Below are 26927 nucleotides of genomic sequence, written 5' to 3' on the forward strand. Positions count from 1 at the left end.
GTTTGAGCCGAGATCGCGCCACTGCACTCCATCCTGGGCGACAGAGTGAAGACTCCGTCTCGAAAAAAAAAAAAAATCATTACCTTTGGGGAAGGCAGTATCCGTGTCTGCCTGGCTCACTGTTTTACCCGTCGCACCTAGTTATTTTTTCAATAAATATTTCTTGATTGAATAAGGAGAGTGGCTTGGAGTTTCAGTGAAAAATGTTCTTCCAAACACTAGGCTTGGTTTTCCGATACCCCACTAGAACTGGATTCTCTGGACTGATACATTTTCACTCTGTGGAGCTGACCGTCCTTTGACCTAGGGTCGCAGGTGGGAGCCCACTGGCCTGAAAGATCCGAGTTTTCAACCTGCAGAATCACCGCCAACATAGGGTTGAGTCGAAGGGCATGAATATTTATGATCCAAAAGCGACTGCTACGCCCTCTAGGCAATGAGCTGGAAAGGGAACCTTCAAGGGCCACCGAAATCCCAGGAAAGGCGCCAGATTCGCTTTCTCCCGGCCTCAGGCAGCTCTCCCTACGAACTACCTCCTCCAGCGCGCCAAGCCGTTAGTCCCGCCTTATCCCCTCAGCTCCACCTACCCAGCGCGCCCACAGTTACTAAACCCTAGCCGCCAGGGTGCACTACGCGTTCCTAAGCCCCGCCTCCGGGGCAAGGGCGCGCTCCCCCTCCCAGCTCTGCCCAAGCAGTTCCGTTAGGAGCGGGAGGAAAAACCGTCCTTCGGGTCCCCGCCTCTCCACTCCTAACGCTTTACTCCCTACTCCCCCTGCGACCACTACACAGCCGGCTACGGAGGCCCCTAATGTACAAATATCCCCCAGGCCCTTGCTCATCCTGATAGGTTTTGTCCTTTCTTAATCGACCCAGTACTAAGGCCTTGTGTTCAGTTTTTCTCCAGGATTCAGACTAGAGAGTTTCTTCCGGCGTAAGGAACTTCAACGCTCTTCACGGAAGTAAAAGTGTTTTTTTGGTTGTTGTTGCCGTTGTGGCTGCCCGCATTCCTTCCCTCCCACCTCGCGGAATTGTGGCGGGAGGGGGAGGAGGAAGTCAGGGCGCCTGCGCGGAGAGGCCGCTTTCCATCCGGGTCCCTGTCCGTGCGGTGCAGCAGGTCGGTAGGCGGGAAATGGCGACTGGCTGAAGGAGCTGGTTCTGTTGCTGCTGCGGGGTAAGCGGGAAAGACACCACACATTGCGCAGTCGGGACCATCGCCGGAGCCTGAGGACACTTCTCTGTCGTCACAGTTAGGTAATCCCCTTCGTCCAGACGCCGCCGCTGCTTCCAATCTCAGTCCTCCTCCTCTTCCAGGGCCGTCTGCCGGGATCTCCTCCCCTTCTAAACCTGGTCCTCCAGCGGCTCTGGCGCCTTGGTAGGCATGCACTCTTTGGCGCCTCGTACGTCCACTGTGCGGAGCCGCTCCTGTCTGGACTTTCCCCTGGGAACAGAAAGGGAGCTCACTTCCCGCCAGCTTCACCTCTTAGGTTGCGGCCTGCGTTGTGATTTCTGGGGTTAGATTTCACTTTGCTACCCACCCCCACTCCGATCTCAAGTTCCTAGTCCCCAACCTCTGGGTAATTAAGTTAGAAGTTTAGCTTTTTTTAACCTTTTTGGCCCACCTCATGTTTTCAGCATTTCATTCTTTGGAGTAGGGTGCTTTTAGGGGGGCGTTGCTCTTATCTCAGTTCTTATAAACACCTTTTCAGAATCTGGAAGAAGGGATTTGACTAAGTTCTGTTTATCTTTTGTACTGTTAAAATCTCGAGTTGACATTGTTACTTTTTCAAATCGGGAGTGGTAGTAAAGAACAGTCCATGTGGAAGGCGTCTGGTTTCCACAGTGGTCAGTTAAAGAGTGAACCTTATTATCCTTAATATTCTCTGCTTTCTTTGGATTTTAAATGTCTGTATGGGTGTTTACTTTTGCATTCTTGACCAGAGTTCTGTGGTAAATAATTGCATAAGTAAATCTTGTTTATTTACTTCTCACCCTAGTGGTGGCTGGATGTGTGAATGATGTTAAACACTTCAGCGTACCTTAGGGAAACCTAAAGAGATCTAAGAGCTCGTAAACTTACCTGAGATCCTGAAATGAAACGTACTCAGTAGATGTTCCTCCGAGGCAGGGATTTATCTTCCTAATGCTGGTAACGCAGTACCAAGATGAATTTCTTCAGTGGGTATACAAATTAGTGACTTGAAATGATGGATTTATCTGTGTAATTTTCAAATTGTAGATTGCTTTGTCTCCCCATTCTTCGCCCAGTTTTAAATTTTCGTTCCTGGTCCATTTTTTATTCTTAGAAAAGGGAAATGGCGTGTTAAAGCTAGTTTTACTATATTTCTTTACTTTTTCTTTCCTTTTTTTTAAATTACATTGCAGACCAATTGTTCATAAAGAGAAGTAATAAGGAGGCTGTTGGTGTTTTCGGAATTTATTAATCATGTTGAATTTGGGATCTTTGTAGGTTTTTTTGTTTTCACTAATCAAATTAAAATTTTAAAAACTGTTCACATTGAATATCAGTTGATATTTATAACTCAGGTTTTCAGTTCTGGATAGGTCCAGTTTAGAGAATTTCACTATTGTTTGCACGATGTTATGGTTAATTTTCAATAATAAACAGGAACACACAAACATTATTATAATCCTCATTTGGTAGACTTTGCCCAAGGTCATAAAGAAAGTCAAGGCAAAAGGTAGCTCTTATGTGAAGGAGTTTTTTAGGATTAAGTTGAGCTTCATACTTTCCTAAGGCGAATAGAATAGTGGAGGTACAGGCACGTTAACTACTTGCCGAGTCAGTTTATTTAAAAAATGGAGCCAAATATGCAACTTAAAGGGATCTTAAATCATTGGTCTAGTGTGTAGGTTTTGTCTGTATTTTAATGACCTTTTTGGGTAGTTAATAGCGTTAATGTTTTTAATAAAAATTAGTTTGCAGCTAGCTGAGTGAGCATTGTAGACCTTGTTTTCAAGAGTTCTCCTAAATTGTTTAGTACTACGTGCATTCAGTACTTGCACTCTTTTAATGCTTTCTCAGAGTTGAAAGAACGTATAAGCTGGCTGGGTGGGGTGGCTCACGCCTGTAATCCCAGCACTTTGGGAGGCCAAGGCAGGCGGATCACAAGATCAGGAGTTCGAGAACAGCCTGGCCAACATAGTGAAACTCCATCTCTACTAAAAATACAAAAATTAGCCGGGCATGGTGGTGCACACCTGTAGTCCCAGCTACTCGGGAGGCTGAGACAGGAGAATCGCTTGAACCCAGGAGGCGGAGGCTGCAGTGAGCTGAAGACCACCCCACTGTACTCCAGCCTGGTGACAGAGCGAGACTCCGTCTCAAAAAAAAAGAATGTAAAAGCTATAAATGATGTAGTCCTTAACCTTTGTGGACTTGTAGCTATATAGAAAATCTAAATAGGATTGCATAGGAATGTCAGGGTTTGTATGTTTCACAAGATTCCATTCTACATAGTGTCTCTTGTGCATTTAACTTGAGCTGGTAATGTTACTGTTTTCCCACTGTTAAGAAATTAAGAATTGGGGAAGTCTTTTCTTTTCAGATTCATCTAGCTGATCTCAAGTTTGTGATTTCTGCTTAAGTGGTTTTTCATGAGATTATTATATAACAGAGTCCATCTAATTCTGGTTAAAGAAACTTGGACCTGTTGTTCACCAAGGATGTACTAGATTCTGGATTTGTAGCTATAGATTTTATTGTCAGTTGAGTAAAATGGCATTTATTTTTATTTTTATTTTTTAGAGATGGGGGTCTCTCTTTGTGGCCCAGGTTGGAGTGCAGTAGTGAACCCCTGGGCCTATGCAGTCCTCCTGCTTCAGCCTCCCAAGTAGCTGGGACTGCAGGCACATGCTACCACACCTGGCTAATTTTTTTAGTTTTTTGTAGAGATGGGGTCTCCCTATGTTGCCCAGGCTGCTTTGCAACTCCTGGCTACAAGCAATCGTCCTGCCTCAGCCTCCCAAAGTGCTGGGAAGACGGGTATTTGCCACCAAGCCGAGTCCAAAATAGTATTAATTTATCCTAGTCATAGGAGACTGTGCTTTAGATTGATGAGATAATGAATAAAATGGTTTGCCAGAATTTGGAAAAAGCAATATCTAATTGTAACTTACCAGGTTGTGAAAGCATAAAGTAGAAAAGACACTTTAAGTCACAAATATCAAGTGTGCTGAGAGTTTATTTGTGTTGTGCTCTAAGTAATTTTTCTGGTTAAAAGTAAGCTAAAAAGTACCTGATTGTTTTAAGTAAATTGGCTACAGGGGGTCATTTGCTACTTTTTTTTTTGTTTTTTTGAGACGGAGTTTCGCTCTTATTGCCCAGGCTGGAGTGGAATGGTGTGATCTTGGCTCAGTGCAGACTCCACCTCCTGGGTTCAAGTAATTATCCTGCCTCAGCCTCCTGAGTAGCTGGGACTACAGGCACGCGCCACCACACCTGGCTAATTTTTGCATTTTTAGTAGAGATGGGGTTTCTCTATGTTGGCCAGGCTGGTCTTGAACTCCTGACCTCAGTTGATCCACCCACCTCGGCCTCCCAAAGTGCTGGGATTACAGATGTGAGCCACCGCATCTGGCCCACTTTTTTTTTTTTTTTTAATGGAGACGGGGTCTCGCTGTGTCACCCAGACTGGTCTCAAACTCCTAGGCTCAAGTGATTCTCCCTCCTTAAGCCTCCCAAAGTGCTGGGCTTACCGGCATGAGCCACTGCACCCGGCTCATGATGAGGAGCCTTGACAGATATGGAACCCATGTTAAAACCGTTTAATTGCAGCTTTAGTTTTCACTTACTTGGCATTTGCCAGGAGGCATATATCTAAGCCAGACATATATTCACTAGTGTTTGTATGACTACATTAATTTTTTAATTTGAACTATATTAAATTGTAATTGGACGTGCATTACAAATAGGTAGACTAGGTAGTTGACTGTGTGGTATAATTTGAGAATTGCCAATGCCTAACTTTATTTATATCTCTCCAGTGTTTTTCTAAATGTCCTGTTTAAAAATCACAAATTCTCTGAAAGAGGAAACTTTAAAAATTGTCTTTTGTTGACAATATTAGCACAGATTGACTATCAAATAAGCTTATTGGTACCACACACAGGTTGAGGGTTCAGAGATAAGGAAACATAGGAGAGTTAAGTTTTTTGTTTGTTTGTTTGTTTGTTTGTTTTTTTTTTTTTTTTTTTGAGACAGAGTTTCGCTCTTGTTCCCCAGCCTGGAGTGCAGTGGTGCGATCTCAGCTTACTGGAACCTCTGCCTCCTGGGTCAAGCCATTCTCCTGCCTCAGCCTCCCAAGCAGCTGGGATTACAGGCGCCCACCACGACGGCCGGCTAACTTTGTATTTTTTTTCTTTAGTAGAGATGAGGTTTCACCATGTTGGTCAGGCTGGTCACGAGCTCCTGACCTGAAGTGATCCACCCGCCTCAGCCTCCCAAAGTGCTGGGATTACAGGTGTGAGCCACCGCGCCTGGCCAGGAGAGTTAAGTTTTTATGCACTGGCTGTGATTAGAAGGGGTGTAGAATATAGGAGCATTGTCTCGGAAAGATGACAGGCATGGTGGGGATAGAATTGTGGTGGGAAGCTTTGGCTGCTTGGAGTCCTTTGGGATCCTGACAGTAAGGAATAGTGAGACTGAGTGTGGCCCCAAGAAGAATTGTAAGACCTTAAAGACAAATATTTTAATGAAGGTCACAATAGGCCAGTTGACTGTACTAGGGACTATGTATTTTGTGATATCCATATGTTCCTATATTATTATTTTATTATTATTATTATTATTATTATTTGAGATGAAGTCTTGCTCTGTCGCCCAGGCTGGAGTGCAGTGGGGCAATCTTGGCTCAATGCAACCTCCGCCTCCCGGGTTCAAGCAATTCTCCCGCTTCAGCCTCCCAGGTAGCTAGGATTATAGGCACACGCCACCATGCTCGGCTAATTTTTGTATTTTTTTAGTAGACATGGGGTTTCACCATGTTGGCCAGGCTGTTCTCGAACTCCTGACCTTGTGATCCGCCCACTTTGGCGTCCCAAAGTGCTGGGATTAGAGGCGTGAGCCACTGTGCCCGGCCTATTATTATTATTTTTTTGAAACAGAGTCTCGCTCTGTCTCCCAGGCTGCAGTGCAGTGGCGCCATCTCAGCTCAGTGCAACCTCTGCCTCCCAGATTCAAGTGATTCTCCTGTCTCAGTCCCCCGAATAGCTGGCATTACAGGTGCCCGCTATCACGCCTGGCTAATTTTTTATATTTTTAGTAGAGATAGGGTTTCACCATGTTGGCCAGGCTGGTCTCGAACTGCTGACCTCAGGATGATCCACCTGCCTCGGTCTCCCAAAGTGCTGGGATTACAGGTGTGAGCCACCGCACCTGGCCGATTCCTGTGTTAGATTGAAGAAAAAAGAGAAAGTCTATATTGAACATGAATGATCAACATGGGATTCTAGCATGGAAATGTGTTTGTGGATTTGATTAAAACAACACAACAGGCTGGGCTTGGTGGCTCATGATTGTAATCCCAGCACTTGGGAGGCTGAGGCAGGCGGATCCCCTGAGCTTAGGAGTTCGAGACCAGCCTGGGCAACATGGCGAAACCCTGTCTCTACCTAAAATACAAAAATTAGCTGGGCATGGTGACTCACATCTATAGTCCCAGCCACTAGCGGGGCTGAGTAGGGGGAATTGCTTGAGCCCAGGAGGTTGAGGCTGCAGTGAGCCGTGAGGGTGCCATCCATTGCACTCCAGTCTTCCAGCCTGGGTAACAGAGCAAGACCCTGTCTCAAAGAAAAAAAAAAAAAAAAAAAGGACAAAAAACAGCCGAAACAGTGTACTAGTAGAACATACTTGGGATTACAAGTGTGAGCCACTGCGCTCAGCCTAAGTAGGGATTTAAATGTTTTATATACATATATATACACACACACACACACACACACACACACTTTTTTTTCTCTTGAGATGGACTCTCACTCTGTTGCCCGGGCTGGAGTGCAGTGGCACGATCTCAGCTCACTGCAACCTCCGCCTCCCTGGTTCAAGTGATTGTCCTGCCTCAGCCTCCTGAGTAGCTAGGACTACAGGTGTTTGCCACCACGCCTGGCTAATTTTTGTATTTTTTCTGTTTGTTTTTGTTTTTGTTTTTTGAGACGGAGTCTCGCTCTGTCACCCAGGCTGGAGTGCAGTGGCATGAGTTGAGGAGTTCGAGACCAGCCTGACCAACATGGTAAAACCCCGTCTCTACTAAAAATACAAAAAAAATTAGCTGGGCATGGTGGTGTATGCCTGTAATCCCATCTACTTGGGAGGCTAAGGCAGGAGAATCGCTTGAACCCAGGAGATGGAGGTTGCAGTGAATCGAGATTGCGCCACTGCACTCCAGCCTGGGCAACAGAGCAAGACTCTCGTCTCAAAAAAAAAAAAAATCAGTGTATATTTTAAGAGTGTGTTTTAGTCATCAGTAATCTAACAACCCATATATTGCTTCTCTAGAGAAAACAGATTGATAATGGTTTTAGAAAAATCATTGTTATTTATTTATTTATTTATTTATTTTTTTCTTAAGAGATAGGGTCTTGACTGGGCGTGGTGGCTCACGCTTGTAATCCCAGCACTTTGGGAGGCCAAGATGGGCAGATCATGAGGTCCAGAGATCGAGATCATCCTGGCCAACATGGCGAAACCCCATCTCTACTAAAAATACAAAAATTAGCTGGGCATGGTGGCGCATGCCTGTAGTCCCAGCTACTCAGGAGGCTGAAGCAGGAGAATTGCTTGAACCTGGGAGGAGGAGGTTGCAGTGAGCTGAGATCGTGCCACTGCACTGCAGCCTGACGGCAGAGCAAGACTCAGTCTCAAGAAAAAAAAAGAAGACAGAGTCTTACTCTCTCACCTAGGCTGGAGTACAATGGCACAGTCACAGTTTACTGCAGCCTTCACCTCCTGGGCTCAAGCGATCCTCCTGCCGCAGCCTCCCAAGTAGTTGGAACTACAGGTGTGCACCACCACGCCTGGCCAAGTTTTAAAATTTTTAAATAAAGGCAGGGTCTCACTGTTGCCTAGGCTGGTCTTGAACTCTTAGTCTCAAGTGACCTCTTCCTAGGTGGGCCTTCCAAAGTGCTGAGATTACAGGTGTGAGTGAGTCACTGTGCCCGGCCAAAAACACATTCTTTTCTTTCTTATTTATTGAAGAAAACTTTAAGTCAGAGAAAACCCTATAATTTTATCAGCCTAACTCAGTTGTTTTATTTTTTGTATAGTTCTGTATTTTGCCAAATGTTTTTGATAAGTTTATTATATTTAGTAGTTTTTAAATAATTTTATAATATTAGCTAAATGGAAAAGCAGAGAAGACCATATATCAGAAATATTGATGATCCAGAAAGACCACCTGTCTTTATCACACACTTTGTTGTGAATAGGATTAAAATAACCTTCGACCAGACACAGTGGCGCACGCCTGTAATCCCAGCACTTTCGGAGGCCAAGGCAGGCGGATTACAAGGTCAGGAGTTTGAGACCAGCCTGACCAACATGGTGAAACCCTGTCTCTACTAAAAATACAAAAATTAGCTGGGCGCGGTGGTGTGCACCTGTAATCCCAGCCACGGGGGCTGAGGCAGGAGAATTGCATGAACCCGGGAGGCAGAGGTTACAGTGAGCCGAGATCACGCCACTGTGCCCTAGCCTGGGCGACAGAGTGAGACTCCGTCTCAAAAAAAAAAAAAAAAAAAAAGAATCCTTCTAACTGTGCGCAATGGCTCACGCGTGTAATCCCACCACTCTGGGAGGCCAAGGCAGGTGGATCACCTTAGGTCAGGAGTTCAAGACCAGCTTGGCCAACATGGCGAAACCCCGTCTCTACCAAAAATACAAAAATTAGGCGGGCATGGTAGCGCATGCCTGTAATCCCAGCTACTCGGGAGGCTGAGACAGGGAATTGCTTGAACCCTGGAGGCGGAGGTTGCAGTGAGCTGAGATCGCGCCATCGCAGTCCAGCCTGGGCAAGGAGAGAAACTCTGTCTCAAAACCAAAAAAAAAAAGAGAATCTTCCTGTTGTAGAGTTGTTTTTTTTTTTTTTTTGAGGCGGAGTCTCGCTCTGTCACCCAATCTGGAGCGCAGTGGCGCAATCTGAGCTCACTGCAACCTCTGCCTCCCGGGTTCAAGCGATTCTCCTGCCTCAGCCTCTTGAGTAGCTGGGATTACAGGTGTGCACCACCACGCCTGGCTAATTTTTGTGCTTTTAGTAGAGACGGGGTTTCGCCATGTTGGCCAGGCTGGTCTCGAACTCCAGACCTCAAGTGGTCCACCCGCCTCGGCCTCCCAAAGTGCTGGGATTACAGGTGTGAGCCATCGCACCTGGCCAAGTTGATATTTTATATAATGCTCCTATACTTAGTCCTTCTTCCCTAGTTGTCTTGATTTTTTTTCTTAGGTGACGGAGAAATCTGTTTTTTCCCCAAGTCCTCCTCCTCCTTTTATAATGAAGGCTTATGGAAGTAGTGGAGAGTAAAGGTGGACAGTTGTAATACCTGAAACTTGATTTCAGATTAGTCAGGCTAGAAATGTAGACTAAGTGGAAACATGCTGCTACTTTTGAAAATGTCATTTGGTGTCAAAGAGGGCAATGACTTTAGCTTTTTCTTTCATGAATATAGTAAGTTAATGTAAATTTAGTAATCATACCATTTGTAAGGTAGAGTATAAATTAACAGACCCAGAGAATTTTAGAGCTGGAGGAGACCAAAGAGGTCATCTAGTCCAATAACATTTGTGTTTTATTGTGATGAATCATTCTGAAGACTCCTTAACATGTAGTGAATGTTTGTCTTAATGAGGTTGCTGCAGGATGAGTTGTATATGATGGAAGGATGAAGACAGCTCTGATTAATTAATGACTCATCTCCCATTTTGACAGCTCTTTGTTTGTTTATTTTTTAGGTAAAATTTACATGTGAAATGCCAGATCTGATGTCCAATAATTTCTTTTGCTGTTGAGGAAACAAAGTGCTAGAATGATTGCATGACTTAAGCAGTGTCTCACAGCTAACTAATGATAGATTAAGGACTGGAAACTGAGTGTGTCCACCTCTTAGTCTGGAGGTCATTCCTTTAGTAACTCCTTCAGGAGTCTACTCTAGAACCTTGCATGCATGTATTATTTTTTATATAGCCAACTGTAAATATACATAAAGTTTTACAGCAAATCTTGACTTTGTTGCCTTTAATGTTTGATTTGTGATCTTTTTGTAATTTTCTTTATTTATATGTGTTATCTACTCTTGTTTCTCTCTTAATGCATGACACATCAGAACAGGTTGAGTATCCCTCATCCAAAATGCTTGGTATCAGAAGTGTTTTGGATTTCAGATTTTTTTGGATTTTGGAATATTTGCATATACATAATGAGGTATCTTGGAAAGGACCCAAGTTTAAACATGAAATTCATTTATGTTTCATAAGTACCTTACACACATAGTCTGAAGGTAATTTTAAACAATATTTTTAATAGTTTTGTGCATGAAACAGTTTTGACTGCATTTTGACTGACTCGTCACATTAAGTCGGGGTGGAATTTTCCACTTGTGACATTATGTATGTTGGTGCTCAAAAACTTGGATTTTGGGGCATTTCGGATTTTCAGATTTTTGTATTTCAGATTTTCCTAGTAGGGATGCTCAAGCTGTATACCACTTCTCATTCAATTAGCAAATACATTTGTAAAGAGGGCACATAAGTAAGTTCTAATTTGTTGAGAATTCTTCATATACAATGTGCTATTTTCTCTTAATGTTGTTTAGGTAGAAATGTGTGCATTCAAGACCTTGGGAGCAGATTATCAACTGAATTTATGCTTTTATCATTATTGTAATCATATTGTTAATACAAGGCAATTTGAAACCATAATTGTCTGCCTCAAAAATTGCTTGGTATCATGGATTTTGTGAAGGGGAAGGAAATCTTATGAGGAAGAAACTTTTAGTTTTATTTATAAGCCCATTTTTGTAGGCAAGAATTAAGTATTGATGTGAAGATTGTTTATGTTTCAGTGATACGGTCTCCTTCACCCCAATTATATGGCCTTTTTGAGAGAGATTAGAAAAATTGTGGCTTAGTTCAACAAAGATTGAGTTAACTCGTGTGCCAGGTTACTAGAATTATGGATCCAGCATCTACCTTCAAGACTCTTACAGTCTAGTGCAATTAAAGAGAAAGAAACAGATTATTTAATACAATTTAAGAGCTAAATTAGAGATAATCACAGGGTTTACACAGGTTTGAGGCTATAGAGGTGGTTACTTATACATGATACTTGGGCTGAGTTTTAAACAATGAAGATAATAGTTAATTGAAAGAATGAGGTAAAAAGAGCAGAAGCATGTATAGAGCACAGTGTGGGCAGGAAACTATTAGTACTGCAGTGCTAAGAATGTGGCAGCTGGCTGGGTGCAGTGGCTCACGCCTGTAATCCCAGCACTTTGGGAGGCCGAGGCAGGTGGATCACGAGGTCAGGAGATTAAGACCATCCTGGCTAACATGGTGAAACCCCATCTCTACTAAAAATACAAAAAATTAGCCAGGCGTGGTGGTGGGCGCCTGTAGTCCCAGCTACTCGGAAGGCTGGGGCAGGAGAATGGCGTGAACCCGGGAGGTGGAGCTTGCAGTGAGCTGAGATCGCGCCACTGCGCTCCAGCCTGGGTGACAGAGCGAGACTCCGTCTCAAAAAAAAAAAAAAAGAATGTGGCAGCAAATAGCAATGAAAACAGACTGGGAAGTAGTTATTGTGGGTTTCATATGCAATGCTAGAGTTTAGTCTTTATTTTGAAGGCAGTTGATGGGAAACCTGGGTGAGAGGAACAGGCAAGTTTGTGCAGTGCCCAGGATCGATTTAAAGGGGACAAGAAGAAGAAATATTTCAGAGGTAAAATCATCAGGATTTGATGATTGACTATATAAGATAAGGGAGAGGAATAATAACTGTGATGTTTAGGATGGCTTCTAAGTTTCTGGCTTGGCTAGTTAGGTAGATGGTAGTAGCATTACTTGTGATGAAGAATATATTAGGAAAAATACGGTAGGAAGAGCTGGTTTTGGTATGGGGGTGGTATGGGAAAAGTGAATTCAGTTTTGGGTGAGTTGAATTTGAGGTACCAAGTAAAAGTGTTGAGAACGTGGTTGAGTGTGAGTCTGAAATTTAGAGGCAGTAGAGATTCAAGCAGAATTAATGATGCAGTTTATAATGAACATTTGAAAGAGGCTCATTCTCCAACTCCAACCCACTACCTCTTTAATCCTTTTACCTGGGCTGCAGGCAAGTAGAAAGGAAATTTTATTGCCCAGTTTTGAATTGCTGGGCAATTAACTTTTTGTATTCCTGAAAGGAGATCTTGAACCAGATCACAACCAGTGTTGTGAACAAGTAGGGCTGTTTTACATTATATACTTTTTTCTTCCAATGTCATGAATTCTTAGGCTAAAATATTGCCCTTATTGCTATGTTTGTTTTGTGATGATGCCTAAATTGTATCATTTTCATTCACAGATTTCTTTCCTAAGCATACTCATTTTCCCAAGCTTTATATTATTATTATTATTATTATTGTTATTTATTTATTTATTTTTTTAAGATAGAGTCTCGCTCTGTCGCCCAGGCTGGAGTGCAGTGGCGTGATCTCGTCTCACTACAACCTCTGCCTCCTGGGTTCACACCATTCTCCTGCCTCAGACTCCCGAGTAGCTGGGACTACAGGCACCCACCACCATGCCCGTCTAATTTTTGTATTTTTAGTAGAGACGGGGTTTCACCATATTGACCAGGCCGGTCTCGAACTCCTGACCTTGTGATCTGCCTGCCCCCCCATCCCCAGCCGGCCTCCCAAGTGCTGGGATTACAGGCTTGAGCCACCGCGCCTTATTTGTTCCATTTTTTACTGATACAGGTTGAGTATCCCTTATCTGAAATACCTGAGACCGAAAGTCTCTGTATTTTTATGTTTTTTTTGGGGGGGGGGGAATATTTGCATTATACTGGTTGAGCATTTTCTTTGAGTGTCATGTCAGCACTCAGGTTTCTGGATTATGGAGCATTTCAGGTTTTGTATTTTCAAATTAGGGATACTCAACCTGTAATTTATCTAGTAATGGAACGCTAAAGAACTGAAAGGGTATGGTAAATCCTGACATAAGTAGTAGCATTACCAACGTGAGGCTGTATATGTCTGTTTAAAACTGTTTCCTTTATATTTTAAATTTAATAAAATCAGGTTGTTGCTGATGTTATATAAGCAATTCCTAACCTGTACTGGGCCAAATTAATATTGTATTATGTTTGTTTGGTTTTGTTATCAAGGTAATGTTGGTCTCATAAAATGAGTTGGGAAGTGTTCCCTTCTATTTTCTGGAAGAGTTTATGTAGATTTGGTATTGTTTCTTTTTAGATGATTGGTAGGATTCTCCAGTGAAGCCATTTGGGCCTGGAGTTTTCTGTGTTGGAGGTTTTTTACTACAGTTTCAATTTTAGAAATTAATGGATATGGGGCTAATTAGGTTATCTAATGTGTGAGCTTTGGTGGTCCATATGTTTTGAGGAATTTGATTTTCATCTAAATTATTGAGTGTACAGGCATAAAGTTGTTTTTTTGTTTGTTTGTTTTTGTGTTTTTTTTTTTTTTGAGATGGAGTCTTGCTCTGTTGCCCAGGCTGGAGTGCAGTGGTGTGATCTCTGCTCACTACAACCTCTGCCTCCCAGGTTTAAGCGATTTTCCTGCCTCAGCCTCCGGAGTAGCTGGGATTACAGGTGCGCACCACCATGCCTGACTAATTTTTGTAATTTTAGTAGAGATGGGGCTTCACTCTGTTGCCCAGGCTGGTCTCGAACTCCTGACCTCAGGTGATCTGCCTGCCTTGGCCTCCAAAAGTGCTGGGATTACAGGCATGAGCCACTGCGCCTGGTCCTGTTGGTAATACTCTGTAAATTCTCCTTAAAAGTATATAGGATCTATAGTGATGTTCACTTTTTCCTTCCTAATAATGGTTATTTGCGTCTTTTTTTCCTCAAACTGCTGAAGGTTTATCAATTTACTCATCTTTGCAAAAAATTTAATTTCTGGTTTTTAAATTTTTTTTTTAATTCATCTTGATTTCTGGTCTGTTGAATGCTTTGCCTCTTGAGGTTGTAATTTATTCCTTTTTTGTGTGTCTTGCAATATTTTACTGAATGCTGGATATTGTGAATAGGGTAGTAAAGACTGAGTAAATAATATTTATACCTGGAACATTGCATTCGTGGACTTTTAGGGTAGGGAGTTGAGTCAGTGTACTCAGGAGTTAAGCTGAGTTTCTGTTTTGTTGTTGCAGAGGGTACCTTAAGTGCGCCATTGGCTTCAAATTTCTCTCGTGTTACTTTGTGCTTAGATTGGTAGTTGGCATGTGGGAAGGTGTTTCTGAATTTTCCTGATCAGTTCTCAGCGTTTGGCTTATGTGCCTTGGCCTCATGAGTGGGACTCTATCAGTAATCTTGCTCCTCTAGGCCAGACTGCAATTTTTATCTTTGTCGGTGTTATCTGGAAAAGAGTTTCTCTGCTCTTGCCTCAGTGGTATTAGAGACATTAGTAAGATCTCTAATGTCTTTGGTATAAGACCCTGGGTCCAACACTGTTTCCTTCCCCTACAGTGGTAGAGTTTTTTTTTCTTTCACTCCCCCGCATTCACTTGTGCCTTGCGGGTAACTGGGCTTGCTGTTCCTCCACTAGTCCCTTCCAGTTTTTGTTCCCTAGAAGAGAAGGATCTGGTTGGGGCTTCGTATTTTTCCCATTGTAGAAGCTGCTCCCTTCCTCCAGCACTGCACCACAGAGGAGGGCTCTCTTCAGTCCCATGTTCGCATATTGTGAGCCTTTGGTGGAGGTCTGTGGAAGATCTTGCAAATGGTTTCAATTGCCCTTGTTATCTGTGTCTCTCAGGAATAATACATTCTCATGCTAATCCACACTTTGCCTTCAGCAGTTTGTTAACAATTTTAGATGAATTCTTTTTACCTGGTTTTATGGAACCATTGTTTCTTCCCGTGGTCTACCTCAGGTGAGCCCGTGCTTGCTTTCTGTCTCTCCTAGGAAGGGGTTGTATTTTCTTGGATTTGAGGTTTCCTGGTTGCCTGAGTCCTCAGCTCTCGGATGGGTTTTTAAAAGGTTCAATTTTGTAGTTTATTCATGTTTTTTTGTTGTTAGGCTGGTGGTGGCATTCTTTCTGGCTTTCTGTAGCCTAGGCAGAACCCAGTTAATTTAGAAGAATGAATCTCTAGGAAAAACTCCAGTGGGTCATAGAAGTGCTCTTCTCTTTCTGGGGCTGTAGCTTGTAATTCCCCGACTTCTTTGCCCTCAGGTTGCCTTTTCTTTAGTTTAGACCAAAGGAAAGGGTTTGAATTGGTTAGATCGATTGATAGTGGAAAGAGAGACTCCCCAATTAGCGCTGGATTGCTTTTTCTTCTTCCCTAAGTGCTGGTTCCCTCAAAACTGTCTTGTGGTCAGCTCCTCCTCTGTAACTTTTGTCATCTTTTCCCAGTCTCCTCTCAACCTTGCTTATTCTTCTATTTCCTGTTACGAAATTCCTAGGGGGAAAAAACATATATTGTGGCCAGGTGCGGTGGCTCATGCCTGTAATCCCAGCACTTTGGGAGGCCGAGGCGGGCAGATCACCTGAGGTCACGAGTTCGAGACCAGCATGGCCAACATGGTGAAACCCTTTCTCTACTAAAATTACAAAAAGTAGGCGTGGTGGTGCACGCCTGTAATCCCAGCTACTCGGGATGCTGAGGCAGGAGAATTGCTTGAATCTGGGAGGCAGAGGTTGCAGTGAGCTGAGATCATGCCACTGCACTCCAGCCTGGGTGACAGAGCAAGACTCTGTCTCAAAAAAAAAAAAAAAAAGATAGATAATTTTAAAGTCTGGAATTAAGATGAAGTATTTTAGCACTTGGTGTACCTGACAATTTGCCATTTTTTGTCTACAGGTTATTTTGTCATTTTTAAAAGTAAGTAAATATTAAAAAGGCGGGGTAGGAGGCAAATTTTACTTGGTCCCTTTTTCTGTCCTTTTCTTCTGTCCCCATTATTTTCTACCCCTTGTTCACAGTAGTTGGTTAGCAAAAAAAAAATAGGGCCAGGCATGGTAGCTCACGCCTGTAATCACAGCACTTCAAGAGGCCAAGATGGGCGGATCACTTGAGCCCAGGAGTTTGAGACCACCCTGGGCAATATAGTGGTACCCCAGCTCTACAAAAGATTAAAAAATTAGCTGGGCGTAGTAGTGCATGCCTGTAGTCCCAGCTACTCTGTAGGCTGAGGTGCGAAGATCGCTTGAGCCTGGGACGTTGAGGCTGCAAGTAAGTGGTGAACCTGCCGCTGCACTCCAGCCTGGGTGACAGGGTGAGACCGTGTCTCAAAAAAAAAAAAGAGATTTTGTTTTCCAATTCCAGAGTCCTTATCTCTTACTCTTTTGGAAACCTTTGGATTAGATGAAGATCTATAGTTTTGTTAAAAACTGTGTTAAACCATTTTAACCATTTGTAAGTACACAGTTCAGTGGTATTAAGTACATTCACCTTGTTGTCTACCATCTGTCTCCAGAACTTTTTCATCTTCTCAAACGGAAACTCTGTGTTCATTAAACAGTCTTCAACGTTCATAATATATATCAGAATTTCCTTCCTTTTTAAGGCTGAATACTACTTAATTGTGTGTACGTACCACATTTTGTTTATCCATTCTTCCATTGGTGGACACTTCGATTGCATCCACCTTTTAGCTATTGTGAAAAATGCTGCTATGAATATGGATGTACTGTGTGAGACCCTACTGTCAGTTCTTTTGGATGCATACCTGGAAGTAGAATTGTTGGATCATATGGCAATTCTATATTTAATTTTTTTGAGGAACTGCCATGCCACTTTCCACAGCAGCTTTACTATTTTACATTCTCTACAGTAAAGCGCAAGGATTCTAATTTCTCCACATTCTTGCCGGCAATTTTTATTTTTTATTTTTATTTTTTTGATACTAGTCATCTAAATGAGTGTGAAGCTGTTTTTTATTGTGGTTTTAATTAGCATTTCCGTGATAATTAGATAATTAGTGATGTCAAGTGTGTTTTCATGTGCTTATTGTCTATTTGTATATCCTCTTTGGAGAAAAGCCTATTCAAGTCCTTTGCACATTTTTGAATCTGGTTGTTTTTTTCTTTCTGATTGTAATGCTTTATGTATTCTAGATAAGAACTTCTTAAGAGACACATGATTTGCAAGTATTTTCTGCCATTCCATGGTTTGTCTTTTCACTCTGTTGATAGTGTACTTTGATACACAAAAATTAAAAACAAAATTTTTTAAGAGGTAGGATCTTACTGTGTCACCCAGGCTGGAGTGTAGTGGTGCACTTGTAGCTCGCTGCACTCTTGAACTCCTGAGTTCAAGGGATCCTCCCACCTCAGCTTCCCAAGTAGTAGCTAGTACTGTAGGTGTGCACCATCATGCCTGGCTAATTTTTTTAGTTTTTTAGGGATGGGGTCTCACCTTGTTGCTCAGACTGGTCAAAACGGTCCTTCTGCCTCAGCCTCCCAAGTAGGTGGGATTATAGGTGTGAGCCATGGCACCTGGCTCAAAAATTTTGGGTTTTGACACCCAATTTATCTGTTTTTCTTTTTGTTATGTGTGTTTTTGTTGTCATGACCAAGAAACCATTGCCAAATCCAATGTTATGAGCTTTTCCCATACACACACACACACACACACACACACACACACACACACAGACACAGAGACACATTTTTTTGAGAAGGGACCTTACTCTGTCACCCAGGTTGGAGTGCAGTGGTGCAATCTCAGCTCACTGCAACCTCTGCCTCCCAGGCTCAAGTGATCCTGCCACCTCAGCCTCCCAAGTAGCTGAGACCACAGGCACACATCACTACACCTGGCTAATTTTTTGTATTTTTGGTAGAGACGAAGTTTCACCATGTTGTCCAGGCTGGTCTTGAACTCCTGAGCTCAGGCGATCTACCCTCCTTGGCCTCCCAAAGTACTGAGATTACTGGTGTGAGCCACCACACCCAGCCTATATTTTCTTCTAAGAGTCTTAGCTCTAATGTTTAGGTATTTGATCAATTTTGAGTTAATTTTCTATGTAGTATAAGGTAAGTAGTTTTTTTTTTTTTTTTGGCGTTTAGATATATAGTTTTCCCAGTACCAGATATCTATAACTTTAGTAGGGGTACAGATAGGCCTGGTGTTGAGATATGGAATGTAGTTTTTTTTTTTTTTTTTTTTTTTTTTTTTTAGACGGAGTCTCCCTCTGTTGCCCAGGCTGGAGTGCAGTGGCGCGATCTCAGCTCACTGCAAGCTCCACCTCCCGGGTTCACACCATTCTCCTGCCTCAGCCTCCCGAGTAGCTGGGACTACAGGCGCACACCTGGCTAATTTTTTTTATATTTTTAGTAGAGACGACAGGGTTTCACCGTGTTAGCTAGGATGGTCTCGATCTCCAGACCTTGTGATCCGCCCGCCTCGGCCTCCCAGAGTGCTGGGATTACAGGTGTGAGCCACCCCGCCCGGCTGTAGTTTTTCATATTATTTGTATAATAGGTTAGGTTCCAGATTTTTTTTTTTCTTTTTGAGACAGAGTCTCACTCCGGCTGTTGCCCTGTCTGCAGTGCAGTGACGCAGTCACAGCTTACTGCAGCTTCGACTTCCCAGGCTCAGGTGATCCTCCCACCTCAGCCTCCCAAGTAGTTGGGACTATAGGCATGCACCATCACACCTAGCAAATTTTTTTGTATTTTTAGTAGATACAGGGTTTCATCATGTTGCCCAGGCTGGTCTCGAACTCCTGGGCTCAAGTGGTCTACCTGACTTGGCCTCCCAAAGTGCTGGCATTACAGGTGTGAGCCACTGTACCTGGCCTAGGTTCTAGATTTTTGAATTCAGTTATATTATGGGTTAACTATGTACATAGGAGCTGCCCTGGAACTCTACTCTGTATTTGTAACATTGTTTCTATCAGAAGTTTAATTTTGAGCTCATACCAGCCAATTTGAAAACACAGCTTTTTTTTTGCTTTTTTTTTTTTGAGATGGAGTCTCGCACTGTCGCCTGGGCTGGAGTGCAGTGGCACGATCTTGGCTTACTGCAGCTTCCGTCTTCCAGGTTCAAGCTGTTCTCCTGCCTCAGCCTCCCGAGTAGCTGGGATTACAGGCGCCCACCACCATGCCCAGCTAATTTTTTGTATTTTTAGTAGAGACAGGGTTTCACTTTGTTGGCCAGGCTGGTCTCGAATGCCTGACTTCATGATCCACCTGCCTCGGCCTGTCAAACTGCTGGGATTACAGGCGTGAGCCACTGTGCCTGGCCTTTTTTTTTTTTTTTTTCTCGCTTTGTCACCCAGACTGGAGTGCAGTGGCGCGATCTAGGCTCACTGCAGCCTCCACCTCCCGGGTGCAAGCGATTCTTCTGCCTCAGCCTCCCAAGTAGCTGGGACTACAGGAGCCCACCACCACGCCTGGTTAATTTTTGTATTTTTAGTGGAGACAGGGTTTCACCATATTGACCAGGCAGTTCTCGAACTCCTGACCTCGTGATCCACCCACCTCGACCTCCCAAAGTGCTGGGATTACAGGTATGAACCACCATGCCCTGCCATAAACTTACAGCTTTTACAGGTTAATTTTATCTTAAGGTTTTGTTCAGCCAGGGGTTCAGCTGAAAAATTACCCATTCCAATGGACCATTCAGACAAAAGGCAGAAGTAAAAAACAAACCTGGCTGGGTGCGGTGGCTCACGCCTGTAATCCCAGCACTTTGGGAGGCCAAGACAGGCAGATCACTTGAGGTCAGGTGTTCGAAACCGCCCTGGCCAACATGGCAAAACCCCGTCTCTACTAAAAATAGAAAACAAGTAGCCGGGTGTGGTGGCATGCGCCTGTAATCCCAGCTACTTGGGAGGCCAAGGCAGGAGAACTGCTTAAACCTGGGAGGTAGAGGTTGCAGTGAGCTGAGATAGAACCACTGCACTCCAGCCTGGGTGACAGAGCAAGGCTCTATCTCAAACAATCAAACAAACAAACAAACAAAAAACCTTAGAGAAAAATGGGAAATTGCTGGCTCAGAAGAGGGAACAGGCAAAAAAAAAAAAGAGAGAAAGAGAAAGGGAAATTGGAATCTTGGGGAACTTTTTTTTTTTTTTTTTTTGAGACGGAGTCTCAGTCTGTTGCCCAGGCTGGAGTGCAGTGGTGTGATCTCAGCTCACTGCAACCTCTGCTCTCGGATTCAAGTGATTCTCCTGCCTCAGCCTCCCAAGTTGCTGGAATTACAGGTGCCTGCCACTATGCCCAGCTAATTTTTGTATTTTTAGTAGAGACAGAGTTTCACCATGTTGGCCAGGCTGGTCTCGAACTCCAGACCTCGTGAGCCACTGCACCCAGCCTGGTAACTTTTTAATCAGTTAAAATGTTTTGTTGGTTATAAATATATTATTTTCACATTGCAAGTTATTTATATTGAAATTATGTGGAAATTTTTACTTAAAACACTTCTGCTGTCTTCTCCCCTTATACTTTTTCTTTCATAAAATGGAAATAACAGACACTACTTTATGTGGTTGAGAAGGTTAAGTGAAATAACATGAGAAAGCATTTATCACAGTGCCTTGCACATAGGAACCTTTTCATGTTCAGGTAAATATAGTATTTTAGAACTTTTTTGGAAAAGAATAGATTGAGAATTGGTTTTCTTTTTTTATTTTTCCAGCAACTGGTATTTATTATCAAAGTTATGTTTGATGTCAGCAAGTTGCCACAACTACAAAAAAATTTGCATATTACAATCTCAATGCAAACGTTCAAATAGAACCCCAGTCCTTAAAAAGTAAAAAAGTAATTCAGATTTCATCAAAAAGCAACAGAATTTTTAAAACATCTTTATATATCCAGCCAACAAGTTAAAATAGTTAACAAGAAAAAAATACAAAATATTGATGTTTAAAAAAGGCATATTTCTATCGATTTGCCCATCAATCTCTTGGCCACTCGGCTTCGTGCCAGTCATCATCTGACAGGCTCTCAGCCACCTCTGGCAACTCAAGCTTAACCAAACCACATCCCTTGGACTTCACATTCTTCATCTTGATGTTGGGTTATAGCACATGGCCGTATTTGTCAATTTGATCATGTAAAATCAAATGGGAGATTTCTCACAAATACCTGGTAGGCTTTCCTGGCCACCGCCAGGAGCATGGCCTCCAGCCTCACCAAAGGACCCTGCCAAACTTCCTCCAGAGTTTAAGTGGGCGCAGTCAAAGCTGACATGGCCACCACCATCCATGGCTAGGCCCATACACCCAGTCTCAGCACCCAGTGTCTGGCCCATGACGGGACCCATGCACTCAAGGCTGTTAATGCCCATCCTCTCCAGACTGTTGGCACCCGTCCACCCCAGTTCCATCCGGATGTTCCAGGTTGTTGGCACCTATGTGCTCCAGGCCAGTGGCCATGTGATCCATCATGGGGCTCATGTGCTCCAGGCCAGCCCCCATACCTGCAGGAACCATGCACTCCACACCAGAGCCCATGTGCTCAATGGTTTGGTCCACATGGTCAATGGGAGCAGCTGTGCACTTGAGGCTGAAGCCCATGCCGGCACCCATGTGCTCCAGGCCGGAGCCACTGCGCTCCGTGACCTTGCCTGTGTGCTGGATGCTAGAGGCCATTTGGTCAAGGCCCAGCAGGCCCATGCGCTCCCTGTGGGAGCCTTTGTGCTCCACAAAGCCCATGCGGTCCATGACCAGACCCATGTGCTGCATCTTGGAACCCACACGATCCACACCATGGCCCAGGCCTGGACTCATGCATTCCATGCTGGCACCCCCAGTGTAGTCAGCGCTTGGGCCTCATCCTCTCGATTTTGGGGATGCTGCCTCCACCTTCACTTCCTCTCTGCTTTGTAGTGATCTTCCCTATCCTAAGTGTATTACTAAGATTTCCTTTATTCTGCCCATGTTCATCCCAGAGCCAAATTGACCCACATTTTCCATACCGCCACCATGGGGGTCCCTCCTCCATTTCTCCCATTTTATTCTAAATCCATGCCCTCCATTCTAATTTCTGCAGGCCCTGTTTCCCATTCCAGTGCCTTTATTCAGGTGATTGGCATCGATAGTCTGCCCTCCTGGTCCTAACCCTGTTCCAATACCACCAAGGCCATAGGGAAGCTGCGGACGCTTAGGAGGGAAAAAAAAATCCTTTGGTAAGGCGGTCTCATCCGTCTTTACCTGCGTTGGTCTATCACACAGCAGTTGGCCATTGAATGTAGATATAGCTTGCACAGCTTCAGTGGACTGTTCAAAAGTAACAGTGCCCAATCCATGATTTTTTTCATCTTTATCCTCAAGAATGTGCTCAGAACACCACATCAGCCATACTAAAATATTTCCTTGAGTTTCTTCCAGCCAACTTTGTAATCCTGATTTGCTACAAATATTGTGCTTCCAAGTCTTTCTGTCTGTAATACATGGATAATTTCATTTGGGATGTTAGGATTATTTAAGATACTAGGTGGGATAGTAATCATTTCTGGGCCACTTGGTCTCATATCTGTTCCACCAGTGGTAGCCATCACGTTTTGCATTGCTCTCCTGGCATGTTCACTATCAGGATCTTTCACTTTCAGTGGTCTTCCACTCAGACTATGCTTGTCTAGCACCTGAATAGCTTTTTTTATGTTTTCTTCCATCTTGAATTCAATAACAGCACATCCCCTGACTTTCCTTCAGTGCCTGTTGCCCAGGCTGTATTGCAGTGGCATGATCTCGGCTCACTGCAACTTTTGCCTCCCTGCCTCCCGGGTTCAAGTGATTCTTGAGCCTCAGCCTCCCAGGTAGCTGGGATTACAGGTGGGCACCACCATGCCTGGCTAATTTTTTTGTATTGTTAGTAGAGACAGGGTTTCACCATGTTGGCCAGGCTGGTCTTGAAATCCTGAGCTCAGGCAGTCCGCCCACCTCGGCTTCCCAAAGTGTTGTGATTAGAGGTGTGAGCCACCACGCCTGGCCTCAGTTCAGTATAAGGAAGTTTTTTGATTAGAACTCGTTTAAGGCGAAACACCATTTCTACTAAAAGTACAAAAAGTAGCCAGGCGTGGTGGCACTAGCCTGTAATCCCAGCACTTTGGGAGGCTGAGAAGGATGAATCACTTTGAGGTCAGGAGTTCAAGACCAGCCTGGCCAACATGGCAAAACCTCGTCTCTACTAAAAATACGAAAATTTGCCAGGCATGGTGGTACATGCCTCTAATCCCAGCTACTTGGGAGGGTGAGGCAGGAGAATTGCTTGAACCCAGGAGGTGGAGGTTGCAGTGAGCTGAGATTACGTTGCTGCACTCTTGCCTGGGTGACAGAGCGAGTCTGTCTCAAAAAAAAAAAAAATTAATATTTTTTTACGTTTGCATTATGAAATAATGATCCTTATGTCTCCTTAAGCATTCCGTTAGATTCTACATTACTTTTCTTCAGGAATGCTACCTGAGGTGTTTTTGCTGTGGTTGGAGAGGTTGAATTAAGAGCATTTTTCAATTTTAGTGTTTTAGATTTTTAGAAAAAAGAGGGAATTGGAGGTAACCTATAAATATAATTTAAATTACTTAGTTTTACTGTTTTTTTAACTTAAAATTAGGAAACATTTAAATATTAAAAATAAATTCTAATTTGGAAGATTTAGTCATATAGACACTCCTTATACACTGCTAGTTCAAACCACTTTTCCAGAAAGCAGTTTGTTAGTATTTCTAGAGATACTACCAAATGTTAACAATCTTTGAACTTGTAAGTTCACTTCTAAGAAACTGTCTTAAGGAAAGAATCAGAAATGTAGACTGAAATTTATGTGGTTATTTCATTTGAGGTGATGTTAGTAATTATGAAACAGTTTATTTTCCAACAAGTCAGTGATCAAATAATGAAACGTTTATCTGTATATTGGAATATGACATGACCATTAAAAGTTATATTCTTAATTTTTTTTTTTTTTTTTTTTTTTTTGAGACTGAGTCTCACTTTGTCACGCAGATTGGAGTATAGCGGTGCAACCTTGGCTCACTGCAACCTCCGCCTCTGGGGTTCAGGTGATTCTCCTGCCTCAGCCTCCAAGTAGCTGAGATTACAGGCGCCTGCCACCATGTCCGGCTAATTTTTGTATTTTTTGTAGAGAAGGGGCGTTTCACCATGTTGGCCAGGCTGGTCTCGAACTCCTGACCTGAGATGATCTGCCTGCCTTGGCCTCCCAAAGTGCTGGGATTACAGGCGTGAGCCACTGCATCTGGCCAATATTCTCAAATTTTTAAAACAACATTGGTAAAATATAGTATAAAAGGGGAAAAAAACAGGTAATACGTGTAGTATAATTATAAATATTGATTAAAATACTTATACATGTTAAAACAAGCAGACTAATATACCCACATTATCAGTCATTTCTGAGTTAAGGAATTATGGGAGATTTTATTTCATGTTTTACTGTCTTTCTGTTTCTTGTTTTTTGTTTTGGAGACAGAGTCTCAGTCTGTTTCCCAGGCTGGAGTGCAGTGGTGTGCTATGGCTCACTGCAGCCTCAGCTTCTCAGGCTCAAGTGATCTTCTCTCTCTCAGCCTTCCAAGTAGCTGAGACTAGAGGTGTGCACCACCATGCCCATATAATTTTTTTGTTTTTATTTTTTGTAGAGACTGGGGAGTCTCCCTGTGTTGCCCAAGCTGGTCTAGAATTCCTGGGCTCAAGCAATCCTCCCGCCTCAGCCTCCCAAAGCCCTGGGATTACAGGTGTGAGCCACCACGCTCAGCCTAAAGTTCTAAAATGATGTGTATTTTATAATCAGAGAAAAGGGTCAATATGTCCACCAAAAATAAGAATTTTTCCAACTCTTAAGGGATCAAGAGTGAATTTTGTTTTATGTAAATAATTACATATATCTCTCACTGGATTGTTGTAAGCCTGGCACATGATTAATATGTTTTCACTGCAGTTTTTCCCCCTGAGTTTGGGTCATACTTTACTGTTTCTATCATGTCTTATAATTTTTTGTTGAAAACTGGCCATTTTAGATAATATTGTAGCCACTCTGATTCTTGATTTTTCTCCCGTCAAAAGTTGTTGGTTGTTTAGCAGTAACTTCCATGGGCAGAAAAAAATCTATGAAATTTATCTCCCTGCAGTATGCAAACACTGATGTCTCTGCTTAATTATTATTTTTTCTTTTTAAATATTTTTGCTTTTACTTTTAAGCTTGGCTTACTAAAGCATACCTCCCTATATATTTGCATAGCCTAGTGGTCAACTAATGATCGGACCAATCATGAGCCCAAACACCTTGAACACAGATCTCAGCTGTAAAATTTTTAAACTAGTAAATTCACTTCTAAGAAACTGTCTTAAGGAAAGAATCAGAAATGTAGACTGAAATTTATGTGGTTATTTCATTTGAGGTGATGTTAGTAATCATGAAACAGTTTATTTTCCAACAAATCAGTGATCAAATAAATTATGAGACATTTATATTGAAATATTGAAATATTACATGACCATTACAAATTATATTCTGTAAAATTTTGACAAAAAGATACTCCTATAACATTAGAGGGCGTTTCATTTCTCCAAGGCAAAATCTGTTTTGCTTTTTTTCTCTATAGATTATTTGTGTCCCCGATAAAAATTCTTTTTAATGATGTTATTAAATATGTATTATTTTGTGTCTGCCATTGTTTAGCATGTCTATGAGATTATTTCATGTTTGTTTATGATAGAAGTTCCTTTGTGATGCTGATTAGTATTCACTTACATGAAAACACCACAGTATTCATCTTTCTGTTTTGGGGCATTTTTGTTGTTTCCAGTTTGGGACTAGAAACAGCCTTATTGTGAATAAGGCTGTCAGGAATATTTTTGTAAAAATATATTGTGAACGTGTTTACATTTCTCTTGGATAAAAATGTAGAAGTGAAATCAGTGAGTCAAAGAGTTTGGTGTATATTTATTAGAAATTGCCCAATTTTATCAAAAAACATACATCCTTAACAGCAGCATATAGTAACATGAGAATAAAGAGACTTCTCTTTATTCTCCATCATTGTTACTATTTAAATTTGTCATTCTTTTTAATTTTTGCCATTTTAGGAGGTGTGAATTGGCATACCTTTGGGGTTTTAACTTAAAATTCTTATGAATAATATTGAGTATCATTTTTTATGCTATCACCAGTTATCTAATTTTTATGAAATATTTTCTCATATTTTTGCCTGTTTTTTCTATTGGCTTGTTTTCTTATTGTGTTGTAGGACTTTATATATTCTACATACAAGGTCTTTGTGATATGTGCGTTTTGTGAATATTCGACCAGTTTGCTCCTTGCCTTCTTATTTTTCCAATAATGTCTTTTGGTAGACGGCAAGTTTTTAATTTTTATGAAGTCAGTTTATCCAGTTTTTTCTTTATGATTATTCTTTAAACAAGACTATGTCATTTGCAAAGAGATAAGTTTCACCTTTTTTTCTTTTTAATATGGATTTCTTTTATTTTTCTAGCCTAATTGCCTGCTTAGAACTTCCAGTAAAATGTTGAATAGAAGTGGTGAGAGGGGCCGTCCTTGTCTTGTTCCTGATGTTAGAGGGACAGCATTCAGCCTTTTATCATGTATGATAGGTCATGTGGGTTTTTCATAAATACCTTTTTATTATGTTGAGGAAGTTCCTGTTTGTTCTTCATTTATTGATTATTTTTAATATGAAAGGGTGTTGGATTTGATCAAATGCTTTTTCTGCATTAATTGAGATGATCATGTGGATTTTTTTTTTGTTTTTTACTTAAATTCTTTTTATTATACTTTA

At 42.3% G+C, this 26927-nt stretch overlaps 1 protein-coding gene and 1 pseudogene across 14 annotated transcripts in view, besides 5 other annotated features; one reads left to right on the forward strand and one right to left on the reverse strand.

The window, feature by feature from the left end:
- Positions 10-617: an enhancer, noted in NCBI's record as "H3K27ac-H3K4me1 hESC enhancer chr15:44718729-44719336 (GRCh37/hg19 assembly coordinates)". NCBI's record gives its function as "activates a minimal SCP1, AML or CMV promoter by ChIP-STARR-seq in primed H9 embryonic stem cells {active_cell/tissue: H9 hESC(primed)}" and the evidence as "EXISTENCE:reporter gene assay evidence [ECO:0000049][PMID:30033119]".
- Positions 272-501: an enhancer, noted in NCBI's record as "active region_9337". NCBI's record gives its function as "activates an Ori minimal core promoter by ATAC-STARR-seq in GM12878 lymphoblastoid cells {active_cell/tissue: GM12878}" and the evidence as "EXISTENCE:reporter gene assay evidence [ECO:0000049][PMID:35858748]".
- Positions 618-1225: an enhancer, noted in NCBI's record as "NANOG-H3K27ac-H3K4me1 hESC enhancer chr15:44719337-44719944 (GRCh37/hg19 assembly coordinates)". NCBI's record gives its function as "activates a minimal SCP1, AML or CMV promoter by ChIP-STARR-seq in naive and primed H9 embryonic stem cells {active_cell/tissue: H9 hESC(naive and primed)}" and the evidence as "EXISTENCE:reporter gene assay evidence [ECO:0000049][PMID:30033119]".
- Positions 782-1161: an enhancer, noted in NCBI's record as "active region_9338". NCBI's record gives its function as "activates an Ori minimal core promoter by ATAC-STARR-seq in GM12878 lymphoblastoid cells {active_cell/tissue: GM12878}" and the evidence as "EXISTENCE:reporter gene assay evidence [ECO:0000049][PMID:35858748]".
- Positions 1108-26927, forward strand: part of CTDSPL2 (CTD small phosphatase like 2) — a 101410-nt gene continuing 75590 nt past the window's right edge. For 9 of the 14 annotated variants that reach the window (XR_007064454.1, XR_007064456.1, XR_007064452.1 and 6 more), the window contains exon 1: positions 1108-1251. The gene's annotated coding sequence lies outside the window, so the exon portion shown is untranslated. Of the gene's footprint in view, positions 1373-26927 lie in introns of all 14 variants that reach the window. The other 5 variants (XR_007064453.1, XM_006720565.3, XM_017022306.3 and 2 more) reach the window with 2 other exon arrangements.
- Positions 1226-1832: an enhancer, noted in NCBI's record as "NANOG-H3K27ac-H3K4me1 hESC enhancer chr15:44719945-44720551 (GRCh37/hg19 assembly coordinates)". NCBI's record gives its function as "activates a minimal SCP1, AML or CMV promoter by ChIP-STARR-seq in primed H9 embryonic stem cells {active_cell/tissue: H9 hESC(primed)}" and the evidence as "EXISTENCE:reporter gene assay evidence [ECO:0000049][PMID:30033119]".
- On the reverse strand, positions 20854-22817 carry HNRNPMP1 (heterogeneous nuclear ribonucleoprotein M pseudogene 1; annotated as a pseudogene).

The sequence above is a fragment of the Homo sapiens genome, chromosome 15 (genome assembly GCF_000001405.40).
Source record: "Homo sapiens chromosome 15, GRCh38.p14 Primary Assembly".
Lineage (NCBI taxonomy): Eukaryota > Metazoa > Chordata > Mammalia > Primates > Hominidae > Homo > Homo sapiens.